At 42.5% G+C, this 19,278-nt stretch overlaps 1 long non-coding RNA gene and 1 pseudogene across 2 annotated transcripts in view, besides 1 other annotated feature; one reads left to right on the top strand and one right to left on the bottom strand.

Annotated features, from left to right (window-relative positions):
• The window catches only part of LOC105370003 (uncharacterized), a 389,555-nt gene that overhangs the window by 333,085 nt on the left and 37,192 nt on the right, over window positions 1-19,278 (bottom strand). The gene's annotated exons all lie outside the window — the stretch shown is intronic.
• Window positions 3,609-3,903: an enhancer, noted in NCBI's record as "tiled region #9136; K562 Activating non-DNase unmatched - State 24:Quies". NCBI's record gives its function as "activates a minimal TATA promoter and a strong SV40 promoter by Sharpr-MPRA in K562 cells {active_cell/tissue: K562}" and the evidence as "EXISTENCE:reporter gene assay evidence [ECO:0000049][PMID:27701403]".
• Window positions 11,130-11,418, top strand: RN7SL865P (RNA, 7SL, cytoplasmic 865, pseudogene; annotated as a pseudogene).

Genomic DNA, 19,278 nt, shown 5'->3' on the forward strand with positions numbered 1-19,278 from the left:
AGCAGGGGCTTATGAGCAGAGACCTAAAGCAATCAAAGGCATCAGCCATAAGAAGAACTCTTGAAACAAAGTCCCAGGCAGAGGGAACAGCAAATGCCAAGTCCCCAAGGCCCTGAGAACAGCTCTTCAAGGAAAAGAAAGCAGGTAATCACAGCTACAGCAGAGTGAGCCCAAGGAGGTGAGGTGGAAGATGAAGTCAGAGAGATAGACACAGACCAGGCCATGAAGCCACTGGGGAAGGGTTTAAGCTCATTCCGAGTTGAGTTGGGTCAACGGAGCACTTCCCTCTTGGGAGCTCATGAACTGAACCACATGCAGCCGCAGGAGCGCATCAACCCTATCTTTTGTGAGTATCATAGTCTTTTCCCAGCCTGGATCAATTATGCTACTGATCTCATCACTCCTGACTTCAAAAGGGGGAAAAAAAGACAGAGAATTTACAAAGAACGATAAACCCAGTTTGTAGCAAGCCGCAAGCCCACAAACTTTTACCTGCCTTTCCACTGCCCAGCATACATCACTCCCTGCCTTGCCACCAAAATACTGCCTTTATGCACAGCCAGCACAATAAAAAATAATTTTATGGAATAATATACCATCTAGGAGAAAAATCCTGGAAATAATATTTGCCTCAATGACTCAATCTAATTTGGGATGATCAAGGCTATTATTGGGGATGCCAGGTGACAGTTACAAGTTGCTGTTTATCAATGTTTGAAGAGCCCCAACTTTGCCATTGACTTACTGTGTGGCCTGAGGCAAATCCTTGTTCCTTCTAGCCTCAGTTTTCCCTACTTTAAAGGATAGATTTAGACAATCTATAAAGGGCTGTCTGTTCTACATATCTAGAAGTACACAAGTACTTCTTAAGGATTCCCTAAGACTGTACTGGGTAACACTGTCATTGGCAAGCATGAGGAGGAACAGTATTTGCACGCACCGCAGGTGGTCTTATGAATTGGTACAACTTTTGTGGATGACATTTGGTCACTATGCAACAAAAACCTTTTAAAAATAGCACAAACATTTGGATTCGGGAAATGTCCCGTGCCAGAATACAAAGTTCAATGGTTCCTAAGAGAAAGCAAGTTTGCTTGGTCCCCGCAAAAAGGACATTTGGCAATATCTGGAGACACTGAAGGGGGTGCTACTGGCATCCAGTAAGTAGAGGCCAGGGATGCTGCTGAGTATCCTACAAAACGCAGGACAGTGCCCACAACCAAGAACCATCTGGCTCAAAATGTCAAGAGGGCCACAGTTGAGAAATCCTGGTAGAGATAAAGAACATTCCTCACCCCAGTATTGTTTCCAGAGATGTAAAATAAAATTACAAAAATTGAACCAAAATACCTTAGTGCAAAATAAGAAGGAATGCATTAAATAATGTGCATCACACACGAAAAAGATTCAATGCAGTTGTGAAAAAATGAGCAGTTCTGTGGCCAAGAGCCCAAGCTCTGGAGACAGACTGCTGCCTGGGTTCAAGTCTCACGTCAACCACTAAGTACATGAATGACTGGACAAGTCTCTTTACCTTTCTAAGTCTCAGTTTACTCATCTGAGAAATGAATATGGAAGCCCTGGCTCTCTCACAGGGTTGTTGGGAGACTCTAAACATCACATGGGTGAATCTGGCACATAGTAGGTTCAGTTCATTCCTGGCCTCTACATGCATTTGGGTTTGCAACCCCAGAAAATAACAGAAAACAGCCATTTCTACTGAGAGGAGCCGGAAGCCAGCTGAGCATGATGACTTCAGACTCTGCCATTGACACTGAACTATAGTTATGTGGCGAGAGCATGAGACGGAGGCTTGATTTCACATTTTCTTAGAGGTGCCCTGTGCTGAGTATCTGACATACATTATCTCATTTCCACCTCACGACAACCCTATGAGACAGATGTAAGCATCATCCCTACTTTACATGTGGAGAAACTGAGGCTCAGAGAGGTAGGTAAGCTGTCCAAGGTCACTCACTGATAAGGAAGTGGTGCTGGTGAGATTCCACACCAGGTCTGTCCGATGCTGAAGCGCAGGTCCTCAGCCCTACATTGGATGACATTCCTAAAAGGCTTATTGAACACAGGTTTAAACAGGCTCTCTATAGAAGAGTTTACCAAGTCACATCTGGATAGAGTGACTGATTCATTCCAAGACCTTTAGTCTTGAAAGTCTTTCATCCTGGGAAACCCGTCAGTCCTAGGTACACCAGGATGATGGTTAACTTTCCTTGGGGTCAAGATGATGGTTCCAGCTCTGATTCCCTCAATGCACCTAGGCCTGGTGAGGGAGAGTTTATGAGTATGAACGTGCAGCTTTTCTAGGACTTAGAAACTTCTCTGACATGGAGAAAATGAGGCAACAGAGAGAGAGGCAGAAGCGCTGGCCAAAGTGTCAAAAACTCTGGCTCTGCTACAAATTCACTGCTTAAACCTGGAATCCAGCCATGTGCTTCTCTTATCCACTAAAAATAAATGGGATGGGGTTAACTTTCTCTGAAAGTCTTTCATCTGTCATGCCAATATCTAGCCTTCCACTTATCCATCCATAATATAGTATTGTGGTTGGCTGCCCAGATTTGAATACCTGCTCTGACTTTCTAGCTGTGTAACCTTAGGTAAGTTATTCACCTCTTTGAGCTTCAGTCCCCTCATCTTTAAAGTAGAGATAAAAATGGGAATCCACTTCACAGTACACGGAAGCTATTTATAATGGGGCTTTGGCATTTGGAAAATGTTCTGTAAATATCGGTTGATATTATATCAATGCTCTTTGTAAACCAATTTGTTTCACTTAGTAAATATTAACTGAATACAGTAGATGTGACACCAGAGACAGAATGAACAAAATCCTCACAGCCCTTGCCTCTTTCACATGAAAAAGCCCAATTTCAAAATCCAGATGAATTAACGACCAACTCCTTCCCTTCTGAAGTTGAGATTAAAGAGAGTGAGAGAGGCAAAGAAAGAGGGAGAGGCCGAGCTCTCCCTAGTGCATGAGCCAAAACATACATCCTGCTCTGCATGGCCAGCCATAAATCCATTGCTCGGTGAGGGTTCTTCCCAGCTAGCATGGCGACCGTTCGGAATATGCAGTATTCCTCCACAACTGGCTGTAATTACCAGCCAGATAATTACCCAGCCAACCCACTTCCCTTGCATATCTCTCAGCAAGCAGGGAACAGCACAAGAAAAAAAAGAAAGAAAAAAAAAAAACCTTCCTCTGTTCTTGTGAGCCTCCGAGCCTCCTAGCTAGGCCAACTTCAGGAGGTCGCTGCCAAAAGCACTCCCTCGGGAATACACTGGGTTGCCGAGCTGAGCGTGCCAATGCCTTAAATTGTTTTATGTTTTTTGTCTCTATGAATTAGAAACCATTAAGAGAAGGCCACCCAAGGAAACCAAGCACAAAATATATTTGGTTACAGATGGATGGGAGAGGTTTGTTCTTGCTTTTTTTTTTTTGCCTTTTTCTTCCCCTGAAGAGAGCAAGTACAATTTTTTTTTCTTTTTTGCATGGCTGATACTTTTGGAGCCAGGATCTTGGAGCCCAAAGAGTGTAAAGAGCACATCCTCCTGGGTGTGGAGGAGATGTTTCTTCTATAAACATCCTTGCCAAAGCAGCTGGGCTTGGCCCCGGATACTCCTCTCATATACATAGTCAAGGCAACCTTGGGAAGCATGAAAATCCTGGTGAATCAGCTGCAAATACTGGCAAGGGAAAGATACACTGCTGAGGCGGTAGCTGCATCTGTATGAGCTTCTGCTCAGATCCCCAACCAGCACCACCCCCATGTGACCAATGACTCACCACCATTCCAATTCCCAGTTAAGCAAGTAGATTCTGGAGTAAGTAACCTGAGTGCAAAATCCTGCATCTTCCTCTTACCATGTGAGCAAGTTATGCAACCTCTCTGTGCCTCAGTTTTCTCATCTGTAAAATGGGGAGAATAAGGGTACTACCTCATGCGGTTGATGTCAGGATTAAATGAGGTGATGTTTAGCGAAGTACATAGCACCTGTATGTGACCAATAAGTGTTACCTACTATTAAAAGTTACTTAACTCCCCTGTTAAATGAGCTATAGCTCAGTTTGCATAGCATTAAAATGGGGATTCTTTGGGGGTTTCTTGTAAGGATTAATTTGATGACATTTTATAGATCTGATCCCAATTCCAAAATAAATATTTTGGGCCCAGAACTGTACTGAATAGTCTATGTACATTATCTTATTAGATCCTTATATTAATTTGGAAAACTCAGCATTATTTGTCTATTGAGAAAATTAAGCCTCAGATAAGTCATGAGTTTGAAATTTCTCTCATGCCAAATTTGTCAGATTAGAAAGATTAGATGTCTGATTGCACCTACAAAGACAGATGACGTAAAGTAAGGTTGGATGTAAGTAAGTCTCCCCCTAGGATGGGAGTGTACAAATGCTTATTAGGGATCATTCTTGCTTTTCTTTCCTTCCATATTCTCTGAACAAACCTTGTGTCTAATTTGGCTTCCTTGTCTCAGGATTGGGAAAGCCAAAATAGCAGACTTAAGTTTGTGATAAGAAAGAATAATTATGCACCATCAATTACCCAATTAGAGTCTGGTTGCTACCTCAGTCTTATGGAAATGTGGTGGAGATGTTATCACTTGCCCAGATTCTCATCAACTTGTTTACACTGATCAAATCAAGTTTCTGGGGTATATTAACCCCACAAACGAACTTCGGCCACCATCATTATCGCCACCATCACCATGAGATCTCTACCATTATCACCAACACCAATTCCACCATTACTATGATCTCCACCACCATTACTCCACACCACTTTCCACCATCACCATAACCATCGCCACAATCACTATCACCCCACCACCACTACTTTACTAATTCTACCACCATCAGAATCACCATCTCCTCCACAACCTCCACCTCCCTCACCAACATCATCATCACCATCTCTACCCACCACCACCATAGTATCTCCACCATCACCACCATCCCCACTACACTATGACCATCACCATCACCACCACAACCATCATCTCTACCACCATATCACCCCAGGAGTCCTTAGCTGAACAAAATCTAAATTTTGGAGACAAGAAAGAGTTTAATTTAGAAGTTGGGCAATTGGGTGCATTAGCAAGAGTACATCACACTCAGTGTGTGACCCCATACATCTTCCCCTGAAGTAGTGAGCTTTTCTTCCAATCCACAGCTCCCTTTGCATTATCTGAGCTTGAGCTTCAGCCAAACCAGATGTCAGTTAAAGACAATAGATAACAGATGCTACCCAGAAAGATGTCTACAGGAAGAACATGTGTCTTAGAGTGAAACATGGATTTGAACCTAGCTCTACCACTTACCATCTCAACACCCACAAGCAAGAGCCTAAACTCCTCTAACACTCAGTTTCCTCATCTGTAAAATATGGAAAATAATTCCTGCCTTAGCAGATTTGAGTTGCAATTACATGAGTACCATGGCCAAACACCATGTTTAGCATATATTAGACTCTCAATAAATACTTAATCATATTATTAAACCAAGATGTCTAAAGAGCCTTATTCTCTACACACTCCCACTGAATACAGTTTTATTAGAAGCAAAATAGCAGCTCACTATCCTGGAGCCAACAAGAAAGAAGTTAATTCTGGAGAAATTAAAACATTTGAAACATTTAAAATGAAGGTCTCTTGTTTTTATTGTAAAAGAAACATGCTGTAAATTACAACACAGTCAGATGTACAAAGGAGATGCACCTTATTAGAAATGCAATCTCCCAAGAAGGGGTCATTTGGTGTGATGGAGAACACACAAACTCACAGTGTAATTCATTTGAGTTGACAAGCCCAAACTGGTACAGGTTGAGTATTCCGTATCTGAAATGCTTGGAACCAGAAGCATTTTGGATTTTGAAATTTTCTTTAGATTTTGGAATATTTGTACTATGCTTACCAGTTCAGCATCCCTAATTTGAAAATCCAAAACCCAAAATGCTCCAATGAGAATGTCCTTGGAGCGTAACGTGGGTGCTCAAAAAGTTTCAGATTTTGGAGCATTCTGGGTTTTGGATTTTCGAATTAGGGATGCTCAACCTGTATGAGTAAAAAGCTCTCTTCTATCCTCAGTCTTGCTTCTTGTTTTATTTCTCTTAGATTTTTTTTCCTCTCTGTGTCAAAAAAGAAAAGCTCATGGCTTCATCAAGGAAGTGAAATTCTCATTTTCCTAGACAGTTCTTACAGAGCACGGAGTTTATTGCCCTGTAATCAAAGGACTCCACCTGGAGCTCAAACACGGGTAGATGATGTGACAAGAAGATAGAAACAGAGCTGGAAGTTTGAGCTACCTTCCTTCCTACCCACACAATGAGAAGATCATCCGGATGCTCTAACAGGGCTTTGCTAACTACAGGTTCAATGTACCTAGGGGAAAAAAGAGGCAAAAACTAATCAGGGAAGATAAACCAGAAGGCTGCTAAGTTTTCATCAGTCAATGGCTAATGGACAAAAAGAGAAAAATGTCCTGAGTTGTTCATATAGTACTCAGTACAAAAGTACTCAATACAAAAAACTGACCTTTATTGTAAGATTCTGTTCTTTCTATATTTATTGTTATTAAAAATTCTCTTTGGCAATGGAACAAGAGCAATTCATGCCAGCCAGTCTTTCTTCTCCTTCCCCTACCAGCTATAAGGATCACTTTTCCCAATGTCTTTCCTTCTTTATCCAGAGAACGAGTTCTGCCTTTGTTAGATAATTGGACTAGGGTGCAGGAAGGAGCTTTCTTGATGCTGAACCAGAGGAAGGGAGGAACAGACCACTGCCACCAGAAAGAAAAGTGGGGAAAGGACTGAGAAGGTGGGAGGGTAAGCCAATCTGCATGGCAAACAGCTAGAAACACACGGGGAAGGAAGAGGGAGAAAGTTAAAGCCCTGCAGAAGGGGGTTGAGAAGATTTGGAAAGTTTGGGTGCAAAAACTTGGGGAGATAAGAAGGGAGAAAATGGGTTTTAAGAATTGGTCATGGACCAGGCGTGGTGGCTCACGCCTGTAATCTCAGCACTTTGGGATGCCCAGGTGGGTGGATCACAAGGTCAGGAGTTAGAGATCAGCCTGGCCAATATGGTGAAACCTTGTCTCTACTAAAAATACAGAAAAAATTAGCTGGGCGTGATGGTGCATGCCTGTAATCCCAGCTACTCAGGAGGCTGAGGCAGGAGAACTGCTTGAGACAAGGAGGCGGAGGTTGCAGTGAGCCGAGATCGTGCCATTGCACTCCAGCCTGGGGGACAGAGCTAGACTGCATCTCAAAAAAAAAAAAAAAAAAAAAAAAAAAAGAATTGGTCATTATGTCATTTAAAAACTAAGATGACTTTAGATGGGAAGATACTCTGTAGATGCTACTTCTTTGAAAGCAGCTTCACTTCAGAACTAAAACTTTTGAGCCACAGTTTTAATCAAGTGCCACATTTACAAACTGATAGTAATTGCAGATAGCAATTTTTAAAATGTTACCTAACTTGGCAAACAAAAGAGTTGGCAAACTTTTGTCAGCCTCCCAACCCAACGAGTTTTAGAATTGCTTTCAAATTTTACAAAGCATTGCTTTGGCACACCAAGTTGACTTTTCTCCAGGGACGATTCCTTTTATTCTGGTTATAATGGGATCTCTTCCTAGAAGAAAGCAGGAGGATAAACCACCTTCTGAGTTTAGTTAATATAAACAGTCTCTTAATACATTTTAAAAAGCTGATTATTGACTTATAAAAGTCTACATGATCCCAGGTTTTGAAGTAATGGAAATGAACATTTAATGTTTGCAAGTAACTTCCACAGGCCAGGCACAGGCTAAGGTACTTTGTGTGCCTTACTTAGGGAAACAGAGAAGGAGGGCATGAGACCTTCATAAAGGGGGAATTATGTTTGATGGAATACAGAGGAGGCAGGAAGAGAAAGGGGTCCAGGACGACTCCTGAATTTTTGTTCTGATCTACTGAATTGACAATGGGACATTCCTTACGCTAAGGGACGTTACGGAAGAGAAAATTCGGGAAGTGGGGAAAAAATAAGTTAGATTTGAGACCTGTAGGATCCCCAGTGCCTGACAGATAGACAAGTGCCAATGTCCAGGAAGCTTTGGGATAGGTGGATTTGAAGAAAAGATACAGAATAAGAGATCTGAATTTAGACATCAACCCTAAAGATAGTCCCAGACAAGACTTAAATTGGTATTGAGATTTACCCGACATCCCACCACCCTCTCTTCTTGTTCAAGTTTGGAAATCTTGTTCATTTTCAAGGGTTACTCCTAATCTCTTGTCATTTAACTCTCAGCGAACAATCTTTTTTTAAAGAAAAACTTTTAGATACAGGGGGTACATGTATTTCATTATTTTTATTTTTGAGACAGGGTCTCACTTTGTCACCCAGGTTGGAGTGCAGTGGCACAATCTCGGCTCACTGTAGCCTTTACCTCCCAGATTCAAGTGATCCTCCCACCTCAGCCCCCCAAGCAGCTGGGACTACAGGTATGTGCCACCACAACCGGCTAATTTTTGTATTTTTTGTAGAAACAGGGTTTTGCCATGTTACCCAGGCTGGTCTCAAACTCCTGAGCTAAAGTGATTCACCCTGCTCAGCCTCCCAAAGTGCTAGGATTACAGGCATGAGCCAGGTACATGTATTTTAGATACAAGTTGTACATGTGCAGGTTTGTTACATGGGAATATTGCATCATGCTGAGGATTGGGGTATGGATCCTGTCACCCAGGTAGGGAGAACACTATCTGATACATGGTTTTTCAACCAACGCCCCCCTCCTTAGCTTCCTCATCCATCTAGTAGTCTGCAATGTCTCTTGTTCCCATGTTTATGTCCATGGGTGCTCAATGTTTAGCTCCCACTTGTAAGTGAGAACATGCGGTATTTGGTTTTCTATTCCTCACTTAATTTGCTTAGGATTATGACCTCTAGCTCCATCCATGTTGCTGCAAAGAACATGATTTTGTTCTTTTCATGGCTGTGTAGTATTCTGTGGTATATGTGTGTCACATTTTCTTTATCTAACTTACCATTGATGGGCACCTGGGTTGAGTCCACGGCTTTATTATTGTGAACAGTGCTGCGATAAACATATGAGCGCAGGTGTCTTTTTGGTAGAATGATTTATTTTCTTTTGGGTATATACCCAGTAATGGAATTGCTGGGTCAAATGGTAGCTCTGTTTTAGGTTCTATGGGAAATCTCCAGACTGCTTTCCATAGTGGCTGGACTAATTTACATTCCCACCAACAGCGTATAAGGTCTCCCTTTTATCCACAGCCTTGCTAGCATCTTTTTTTATAATGGAGTCTCACTCTGTTGCCCAGGTTGGAGTGCAGTGGCACGATCTTGGCTCACTGCAAGTCCGCCTCCCGGGTTCACGCCATTCTCTCGCCTCAGCCTCCAGAGTAGCTGGGACTACAGGCACCCGCCACCACGCCCGGCTAATAGTTTGTATTTTTAGTAGAGACAGAGTTTCACCGTGTTAGCCAGGATTGTCTCAATCTTCTGACCCCGTAATCCACCCACCTTGGCCTCCCAAAGTGCTGGGATTACAGGCGTGAGCCACTGCGCCTGGCTACTAGTATCTTAATAATAATAGTTATAACCAATGTCTCTACAGGAACCATGGTTTTTAAAGCAGCTTTACCTTCCAGATCCCATTTTCTATAAGATTATTTGGGTTGAAAATGACAGAGAGTCAATTCATAACCAATTCATTAAGCAAACATGGAATGCCTTGGGTGGTGTGTCTGTTCAGGTCCTCCAGGAAGCAGAAGCCAAAATACAATTAGACAGTCAAGAGACTTATTGGAGGAGTTGCCTGTGAAGAATAAAGGAAGCAGGAGGAGGCTGGGAGAGCATTTTGACTATGACCCAGGTCTGACACCTGGGAAAGGAGACAGGGACAAAAGGAGGATTGGAAAGAAGAAGCCTCAGACTATAGCGCAGATTAAAAAAAAAAAAAAAAAAAAAAAAAAAAGTCTCAGTAAAGCCAATAGGAAGCCCAAGGGCAAAGACCTCTTACCCCATTAGATGAGTCCCACTTTGGAGCGAAATAATCCTGCTCTAGAAGCTGTACCATGCTCAGTCATTGGCTGGGCTGAGAGCAGCCCAGGGAGAATGTGGCTTCAAAGTGAACATCTGGCAGATCTAAAGCTACAGCTGTTGGAGATGTCCACTAGGCTGCTACTCACAGCAGAGAGAACTGAGCGGCACATGTTCATGAGTGCCCCAAGTAGCTGAGGCAGTCACAGCTGAATCCAAAGTTCACCTTAGAATAAATCATTAGATTTTCCTCCCGTCCCACCCCATCTCTCATATCTTCTTTCCTGCACAACTGCTTAATATTTCTTCTGGGCTCAATTAATAATAATAATAATTTGTTGATGGATAAGTGTCTCTTTATGGAAACTCAGCCATATGAGCTCATCAGCATTCAAGATTTAGATCCTGGTGAATTCTATGACATTTCCTGCCACCCCTTTCATATAATCAAAGATGGCCCTCAACAACACTAAGCATACATTATTCCTAGAGAAGCTCAACATTTTTTTTAGATGGGGTCTTGCTCTGTTGCCCAGGCTGGAGTACAGTGGCACAGTCTCAGCTCACTGCAACCTCCACCTCCCGGGTTCAAGCGATTCTCCTGCCTCAGTCTCCCTAGTGGCTGGGATTACAGGTTCCTGTCATCATGTCTGGCTAATTTTTTGTATTTTTAGTAGAGACAGGGTTTCACCCAGTAGGCCAGGCTGGTCTCGAACTCCTGACCTCTGGTGATCTGCCCCCCTTGGACTCACAAAGCACTGAGATTACAGGCATGAGCCACTGTGCCAGCCGAAGCTCATCATTTCTAAAGGAAATAACTCCACTCCTTCCCACCATCCATCCTGATCTCAGCAAAGGATTCACATGTTCACCCCTGAACCAATCCATCACCTGGAAGGGGACAGGGATGCTCTGGGTAGAAAGGTTGAATAGGAGAAAAAGGGTCCCCTGATTTAAAGTCCCACCTCCAGAATGACATGGAGCAGAAAAGGGCAGTCCAAAGGGCAGGACAGCCAATAACAGTAACAGATGTTGCCTGGCCCCCGTGCCACACAACTATAGTCCCAGCTACTCAGGAGGATGAGCAGGAGGATTGCTTGAGCCCAGGAGTTCCGGGTTGTCATGCACTATGCTGATGGTGTGTTTGTACTAAGTTCAGCATCAATATGGTGACCTCCTGGGAGTGGGGGACCACCAGGTTTCCTAAGGAGGAGTGAACCAGCCAGGCTGGAAACGGAGCAGGTCAGACCTCCTGTGCTGATCAGTACTGGATTGCACCTGTGAATAGCCACTGCATTCCAGCCTGGGTAACACAGCAAGACCCCATCTCAATAAAAAATAAAAATTAAAAATTAACAGATGTCCGCTATCACCCTCAAGACAAGCTGGAAAAGAGGGAGATTCTTCTGCTGGGAAGAGAACTCACAGATCAGGCTAGGTGAGCATCATTTTATTTTATGGACCACCAGTTGAAGGTTATTTTGACCCAAAGTCCTAAGGTTGGATTTTGTCAAGCACTGGGTTAGATAAAAGGGGGGAAAATTATCAAAATAAAACTGATTATATTTATTTTTAGAACAATAAATAGATACCAGTGAGAAATGTTAGGAAGGGAGGGGAATCCCAAAATTAAACTTCAACAGTAGTAAGTACTATTGACAAATGATATATTTTCCAAATGAAAGACATGAACTATGGAATTCTCATCCCGGGTCTGCTACCTTTGAATTGCATGTTTCAGCTTGAGGCTTCTACAACGTAATACCATAGACTGGGTGGCTTCTAAACAACATAAATTTATTTCTCACCGTTCCAGAGGCTGGGAAATCCAAATCAAAATGCCAGCAGATTTGCTGCCTGGCGAGAGGGCCTGCTTTCTGGTTCATAAATGGCCATCTTCTCACTGTGTCCTCACATGGTAGAAAAAACTGGCGAGAGAACTCTCTGGGGTCTCCTAGAAGAGCACTAATCCTATTTATGGGAGCTCTACCCTCATGACCTAATCACCTCCTGAAGGCCCCACCTCCTAATACTATCACATTTGGGGCTAAGACCCCAACATATGAATTTGGAGGGAACACAGACATTCAGTCTACAGCACTGAACAACCCTGAGCGTTAACCTCCTTGCTTTCTTATATCAAAATAAATGAGGGAGGAAGGGAGAATCTATTTATAGTAAGATCATTATAAGAATTCTTTGAGATCATAAGTTAAGCACCCAGCACAGTGCCTGAAACTTAGTGCTGAATATATTTGTGTCTAATATTATTAAACTTGAAAGATTCCATGCACTTCAGCTACCATTGGCTTCCAGCTCTCTAATACCAGTCAGCCATGCCAGCCAAAAAAAAAAAACCCTTTGCTTCATAATCCAATAATCCCATGGAGCCCTAAGAAGGGAAGGAAAGTGTTCCAAGCCCAACGGGCTATTTTTGGAGATGAAACATCATCCCATTATTTGCAGAAGAAGAAAAGGGAATGGGTCAGAGAGTGGTTCTTCATGTTATCCTATGCCTACAGTTAATTGTGCCTGGGGGAAGGTTCCATTAGAGAGCGAGAGCGAGCAAGCAAGAGAGAGAGAGAGAGAGAGATGTTTCAACATCCTAGAATACAAAGCACCTTTACAATTGTCCTTGATTTATTGCATCTCTGAGGCTGTCTTTTAGCTCCAACCACAGTCTGTTTTGGGTCCGCCCAAGTTTCTGCTCATGTAGATACAAGGGCCTGGCACAGGCCTGGAGAGGAGAAAGGGCCCAGAGATTCTCATGTGCCCTCCTCTTAGGCTGGCCCCTTCTTGAGGCCATGAGGACACTCCAAGTTTCTTGAGAGTCCTTCCTATCAGGCTTTGTTTATCTTTTAGAGGCTCATCTGGCCAATCTAGATAATTCAGAGATTTCAAAAAAGGATGCAGGTATAAAAAAGGGCTCTTCTTTGGAGATCTTGGTTTGCAGGCATGTTGGCTGCCAGAAGGTGGTGAGGTACTGGCTTTCTCTTTGGTGAGATGAAATAAAGCAAATGGCAAAGGAGAAAGTGTTCCCTGAATAAATATTGATGGGAGGAATGAACTTTTAACTTTAGCAGGTGGGTAGTGAGTGCTGTGCCTAAGCTTCCCATGTGGAACCTACACAGGGAGGGGCCTGGCATGCTCAGTCCAACTTCTTCATGGTCATCTTCAGTGAAATGAGAAGTTGGCATGGCTTTTGAAAAGAGCTTAGGTCAAGACCACACTCTCTAAGCTTGTACCATGAAAACACACAACTAGAATGCTAGTATTGGGTGATTATTGTGTGTTAGACTATGTACCTCATTCAAATTAAACTTGCTAGGAGAAAATTACAGAATGCTTCTGTCACTCCATGAGTGCAACAGTATCAAAGTACTCACTGTGCATTGTAAGAGTAATCAAAGTAGCCCCAAACAGCAATGCTAAGAAGGCAGTAGTATTATCATGATTACCATTTTCTAAATAAAAGTGAAGTTCTAATAAAAAGAAGGAAAATGACCCATCGACTCCACTCCTAGCTATGTACCCAACAGAAGGACTGCATATGCTGCAAACGTATGAGAATGAGAATGTTTATAGCCTCTTTATTCAAACTAACCACTCAGAATGGTACAAACACCTATCAAAAGGAGAATGGATTGTATTAATGGGCTAATGGATTGTGGTGTATTCGTGCAAAAATACTATGTCAAGATAAGAAATGAACTATTGCTACACACAACATGGATGAATCTCACAAATTACTAGGTTGAGTGAAAGAAGCCAGACACAAAAGGGTATATTCTGCATGATTCCATTTATGTGAATTTCAAGGACAGGCAAAACTAGTCAATAGAAGATAGAAGTCAAGGTAGTGATTACCTCTTGCTGTGGGTATATATACACTAGGAAGCAACATGAGGGAACATTATGGGGTACCATAGCTTAATCTAGTTGATGGTGATATAGACACACACACACATACATACATACACACACACACACACACACACACACACACACATACACACAATCACCTAACATTAATGCACTTTACTTTTTGTGTTTCACCTGAATAAATTAGCAAGGAACAAAAGAAAGAAGGAAGGTGGGAGGGAAGGAGCAAAGAAACTTGCACAAAGTCTTCCAGCTAGCAAATGGCAGAAATGAAATGTGATCCCAGGTCTGCCTGGGTTTGCAGAACACTAACTACTGGGATATACCATATACCAGCTGGGTTTATGTTGACTATTGAATAAACATTTGTTGATGGATGAGTGTCTCTTTATGGAAACTCAGCCACATGAGCTCACCAGCATTCAAGATTTAGATCCTGGTGAATTCTCTATGACCTTTCCTGCCGCCCCTTTCAATATCTTTCATGGTTCTTAGTGGGGAAAATGTAGCTACAGCAAGGATATAATGAGCTGTTACTGCAAGCTGAAGTTCCGTGGTGAATCTGGCCTCTTGTTCTTAGGCCATCATCAAGGGAATGTGGACAAGAAGAACAGAGACAGGTATTGATCCTTGTTCATTATTTAAACGCATATGGCGGCAGGGAGCTTTGCTCAATAAAACCCTGACAGAGACGCCTCAGGCCTGAGTGATGACCCTAACAACATCCATGGGTGCCTTACGGGGCCTGAGACTCAGTTTCCCCAACTAAAAAGAAAGAGTATTGATTGGCCCATCTGGTCAATCCAGATGGCTTCAGGGACTATTTTGTTTACTCTTACAATGTGCAATGAGTGCTTTGATATTTTTGTACTCGTGGAATGGGGGAAGCAGTCTGTAATTGTCTCCTACTAAGATTAATTTTAAAAACAGTATCTAAAATATTACAAATTTTTTAAATTTTCAGGTTGTTCAGAGTGGTTAGACATCTCAAACCTGGCAAGACAGACTTTTGTTTTCACGCTCAGCCACTGCTTGCCAACACTGTGAGCTTGGGAAAATGGCCTTACCTCTCTGAGCCTCAGTTTCCACTTCTAAAACTGGAGATTGGATTCATATATACCTCATAGGGCTGTTGCAAGTATTAGATGAGTTAGAACGATTAACACAGTGCCCGATACAGGCTACTCTTTCAATAAATATGCTATTCTAATATCAATAATTATGATAATGATTAATGATGATCAGAACAACTAGTATTATATACCCTGGAGTCACTATTTAGCAGTAATCAAACTAAGTAGCATTTTCAACTAGCATTTCAACCCTAACAATGACTTCTGACAAATCACCCAGTCTTTCCCATTCTTCATTTTCCCACCTAGTCTCTAGGACTAGATGACCTATGAAGGCTCTTTTAACTCTAAAACTGGGATTCTGTAAAGTAAGGTCTTGAGGATACTTCATCTGTGTGCCCAAATTTGGAGCTGTGGCTTTGCAGAGCGGGCTTCTGGAGTCTCATTTCTATGAGGACTCTATAGATTGGGAGAGGGGAGTTGGTAAAGAGAATTCCTTCCGTGACTGATAAAGAAGCCCTGGGACTCTGGAAAAATCTTTTCACCAAAGTTTTCCCCCTAACACTTATGGTAATTACACAAGTGGGCAATGTGCTCTCAGAAGTTGAGGCCACTCATTCATTCATTCCATATGCATTTGAGGTGTCTCTCAAGCCAGTGAGGCTGTACATGTCCATTTTCAGTTATAATGAGGCAAGGGAGTAGCAGGAAGCTCCAGGCGGATCGCCTGAGTTCCACACACCTGAGCTCTGCACATTGAGTTTCCTGCCCCCATTGTGTAAACAAAACCCTACCTTCTTCTACAGATTAGGGTCAATAATTCCTCTTGGTATGATGATTCCTTACTGGCTCATTTCTGGACCTAGGAAATCCAAAGCACCCTGGCTACATCTGTAGCCTGTTGTTCAATGTGACATTTGTTCTGCCCCTAAAAGTGTGTCCCCTTGGGCACCAGGACTTCCAACCTGGAAGAACCCAGAGTGGAGGGAGCAGGAAACACAAAACACCCCCAACAGGTCACTAGGAATGATACTAAGTGAGGCCATTCCTGCTTCCACTCCCTGGATACTGGACACATAGTTTTTTCTGTTGAGGACCCAGCACCATGTAGCGGTCTCCGATCTAATGCATACCCTGTATCCTGAAAGGGGGCTCCCATCCATCCACAGTGTTGCATCCAAGTTGGTGTTTCAGCTACATCTTTAGAGGGCTGTTTCAGAACTCTATGAAGCTAGCTTTTTCTAGAGTGTGCGGTATGTTTTACAACTAAGAGTTATAAATTTGTGTCCACTAGTCACATGCTCTGTTGCACGGAATTCCATGCGTATAGATTGGGCATTCTACAAGCACCCAGATAATGGTGTTGGCTGAAGATCTATGGGCAGGAAAAGCAAACCCATACCTGCATTCAGTGTCTATCCTGATGAACTGCTGCTCCTTCCAGGATAAAAAAGGGCCTAATATAATCAACTTTCCACCAAGTTGCTGACTTTTCTCCTCAAGGAACAGTGCCATACAGGGCTCAGTGTTGGTCTCTGTTGCTCACCCATTGGACATTCAGAGGCAGCACTAGATCAGCCATGAGAAAGAGTCCATTTTATTGGGTTTCTATGAATGCCAACTGACCAAGTCTTTTTGTCTACTTGTGTTTTCAGTACTTTTGTATGCTTTCTATCGTATGTATTTATATGTGTACAAACATCTTCACACATTATACCGACTCCCTTAGTTCTATCCACATGCTTATAGCCGAGACCTCCTTGCCTTTGAACTTTCAGCCATTTTCCCAGGCCCTTGACCAGGCAGCCAGGCCATTAGCTATTGCCCAGGAATCTATACATATTCTCACCTCAACTCACTTTTCCTTCTATATAAAATAAATAATAGTGTTCACCTGTCACAACTGCCAATCAGGAATATTTTCCCTATTCACTTCTCGTTCAAAGCAGCCCCTGAATGTGGCTGTGATGCTGCACTACACATTTCCAGCTTACACCTGCATACGAAGTTTACTCATCCATAACCAAGTTTGCGGCCAGATTGTGCTGACATTTAACCCTAGGCATTGGCCTGGCAGCCAGAAGAGAAGGTGGGTGAAGCTCCCAAGAGGGTGGCATATGTTACCCTAGCAATAGTGTGTCATTGCCATTCAAAGACCCCGCACCATCCACCAAATGTGACAAGAATATCCGAGCCTCACACATCCCTATTGTGGCCGAGAAGATGAAATGAGGATTCTTCCTGTTCACAGCTTACAGCTTCATTCCTCTTTTGAATGTTGTGGGAAGAAGATGATGGTTCCTAGATATAAGGGCAAGATCTCTGCAGCATCTCCTAGGGGAGAATTTCAGGCATTTACTAGAAGGGATAGTCCAACTCTTCAAGCTCTGGAGGTTCATGGAAGTCTCGAGAGCCAAAATATTCATGGGAATTCATCTAGATGTCCCTATACCATATGTCAGAATCTGATATTTTTCCACCCGGGACCCAGATCTTATAACAGATCAGCCATGGCTAAGCATTTAAACCTTTCTGGAGCTCTGTGACTATCAGGTCCTGAATCTACTTTTCAGCTGTGTTCACTCTCTCATTTCAGGTAATAAGATCTTTGTAAGGTATCAAAAAAGCCTCTTTGGCTCTCACGCTTACCCTTTAATTTCTTGATATTGGCCATCAGTTTCTCATTATTCCTCTGTAAGGCATCAGTATAACTCAGCAATAACCAGCCAACTCCACTGTCTTTAAATGCATTGCTTCCTTCCCCCTGTGTCTTTCAAATATCTGAACCACTATACCTGCAAGTTTGTTCTCCTCCAACAGGGTATTTTTCTGGGTCACCATCAGTTATATCTTCAGCAATTAGGCTTCCACCTCACATCAGGGACTATCAGTGACAACATCTTGGATCGCTTGGGATGGAGTCTTCTTTGCCTGTTGCTCTGTGAGTGGGCCAGTCCCAAATCCTCAAAATCTTACCCTCTGCTTTCTTGGATCCCTCTTGGTAACACCTGGGTTAGTTTGGATACTCTAAAAAGCAGACGCTAAGACAAGATTACACCTGCAAGAGATTTACTGGGGGTAATACCTGGGAAAGATGAAGAGGAGGAAGCAGGAATAAGCAGGAAGAGCCATCAGACCATGATGAAGATCCAACACCCACAGAAAGAGATAGTGAAGGAAGGAGTATTAGGTGGGAAGAACCTTGGACTGTAGCTTAGTTCTAAAAATCTTTTAGCCAGGCCAGTGAGAGAAGTCCTTAAGCCAAAAGTTCCCTCTTAAAGAAGTTCCACATCCTCTGGAAAGGAACCTGCATCAGCACCCCTAAATAACTCAGTTACTGGCTGGGGAAGCATCGACTCTTTGCAAATCTGGTAGTGCATCCAGGAGGAAGGCAGCTGGGACTATCAATCAACAAAGTGTCTCATTACAGGAGATCTGAGTGGCACATTTTCATGGTCACCAGACTGATAAACTCCAACTGACCTGAAATACCTACCATGTGTGCAAAAATGTGCTAGACACTGAAACCACAATGGTCATTAAGGTAGACATGGTTTATGTTCACAAAATCAAATGGAAAACATTAACATATGTGTAACATATGAAAATTATGTCACAAATATAACAAACTGTTATATATTAATGCATTAAATGTAAATATATTACCCTGAGATAACATATCATATGCACCTATATTAAAATATAATTTCCAGCCAAAATAACTGTTCAAAAAGAGCACAATATCATCTATGTTAGTACATTCTATGATGTTCACACAATGACAAAATCACCTAACAATGCATTTATCGGAAAGTATCCCCATTGTTAAGTGACACATTACTGTATTGGGAGGGTGGCATTTGGAGTTTATTTCAGTCCTGACTTTTTTGTTTTCAGTGCCTTTGAGATACCCAAGTGAAAATGTTTGGAACACATCTGGTTATATGCCCTGGAGCTCAAAGGAGTTGCCTGTGAGACAGATACTTATTCGAGAACCACGACAGATACGTATTTGAGAACCACTAGTATTTAGATGGCATTAAACCCATGGGGCTGGATAAAGTCACCTAGGGAGAGAATATAGGGTAGCAAGAGAAGAGGGCCTATGGCTAAGCCTAGAGATCCTCAGATACAGGTTGAATACCCCTCATTCAAAATGCTTGGGACCAGAAGTGTTTTGGATCAGTTTTTTTTTTTTCAGAATATGGAATATTTGCATTACTCTTTCCACTCCAA

This window comes from Homo sapiens, chromosome 12, assembly GCF_000001405.40.
Source record: "Homo sapiens chromosome 12, GRCh38.p14 Primary Assembly".
Lineage (NCBI taxonomy): Eukaryota > Metazoa > Chordata > Mammalia > Primates > Hominidae > Homo > Homo sapiens.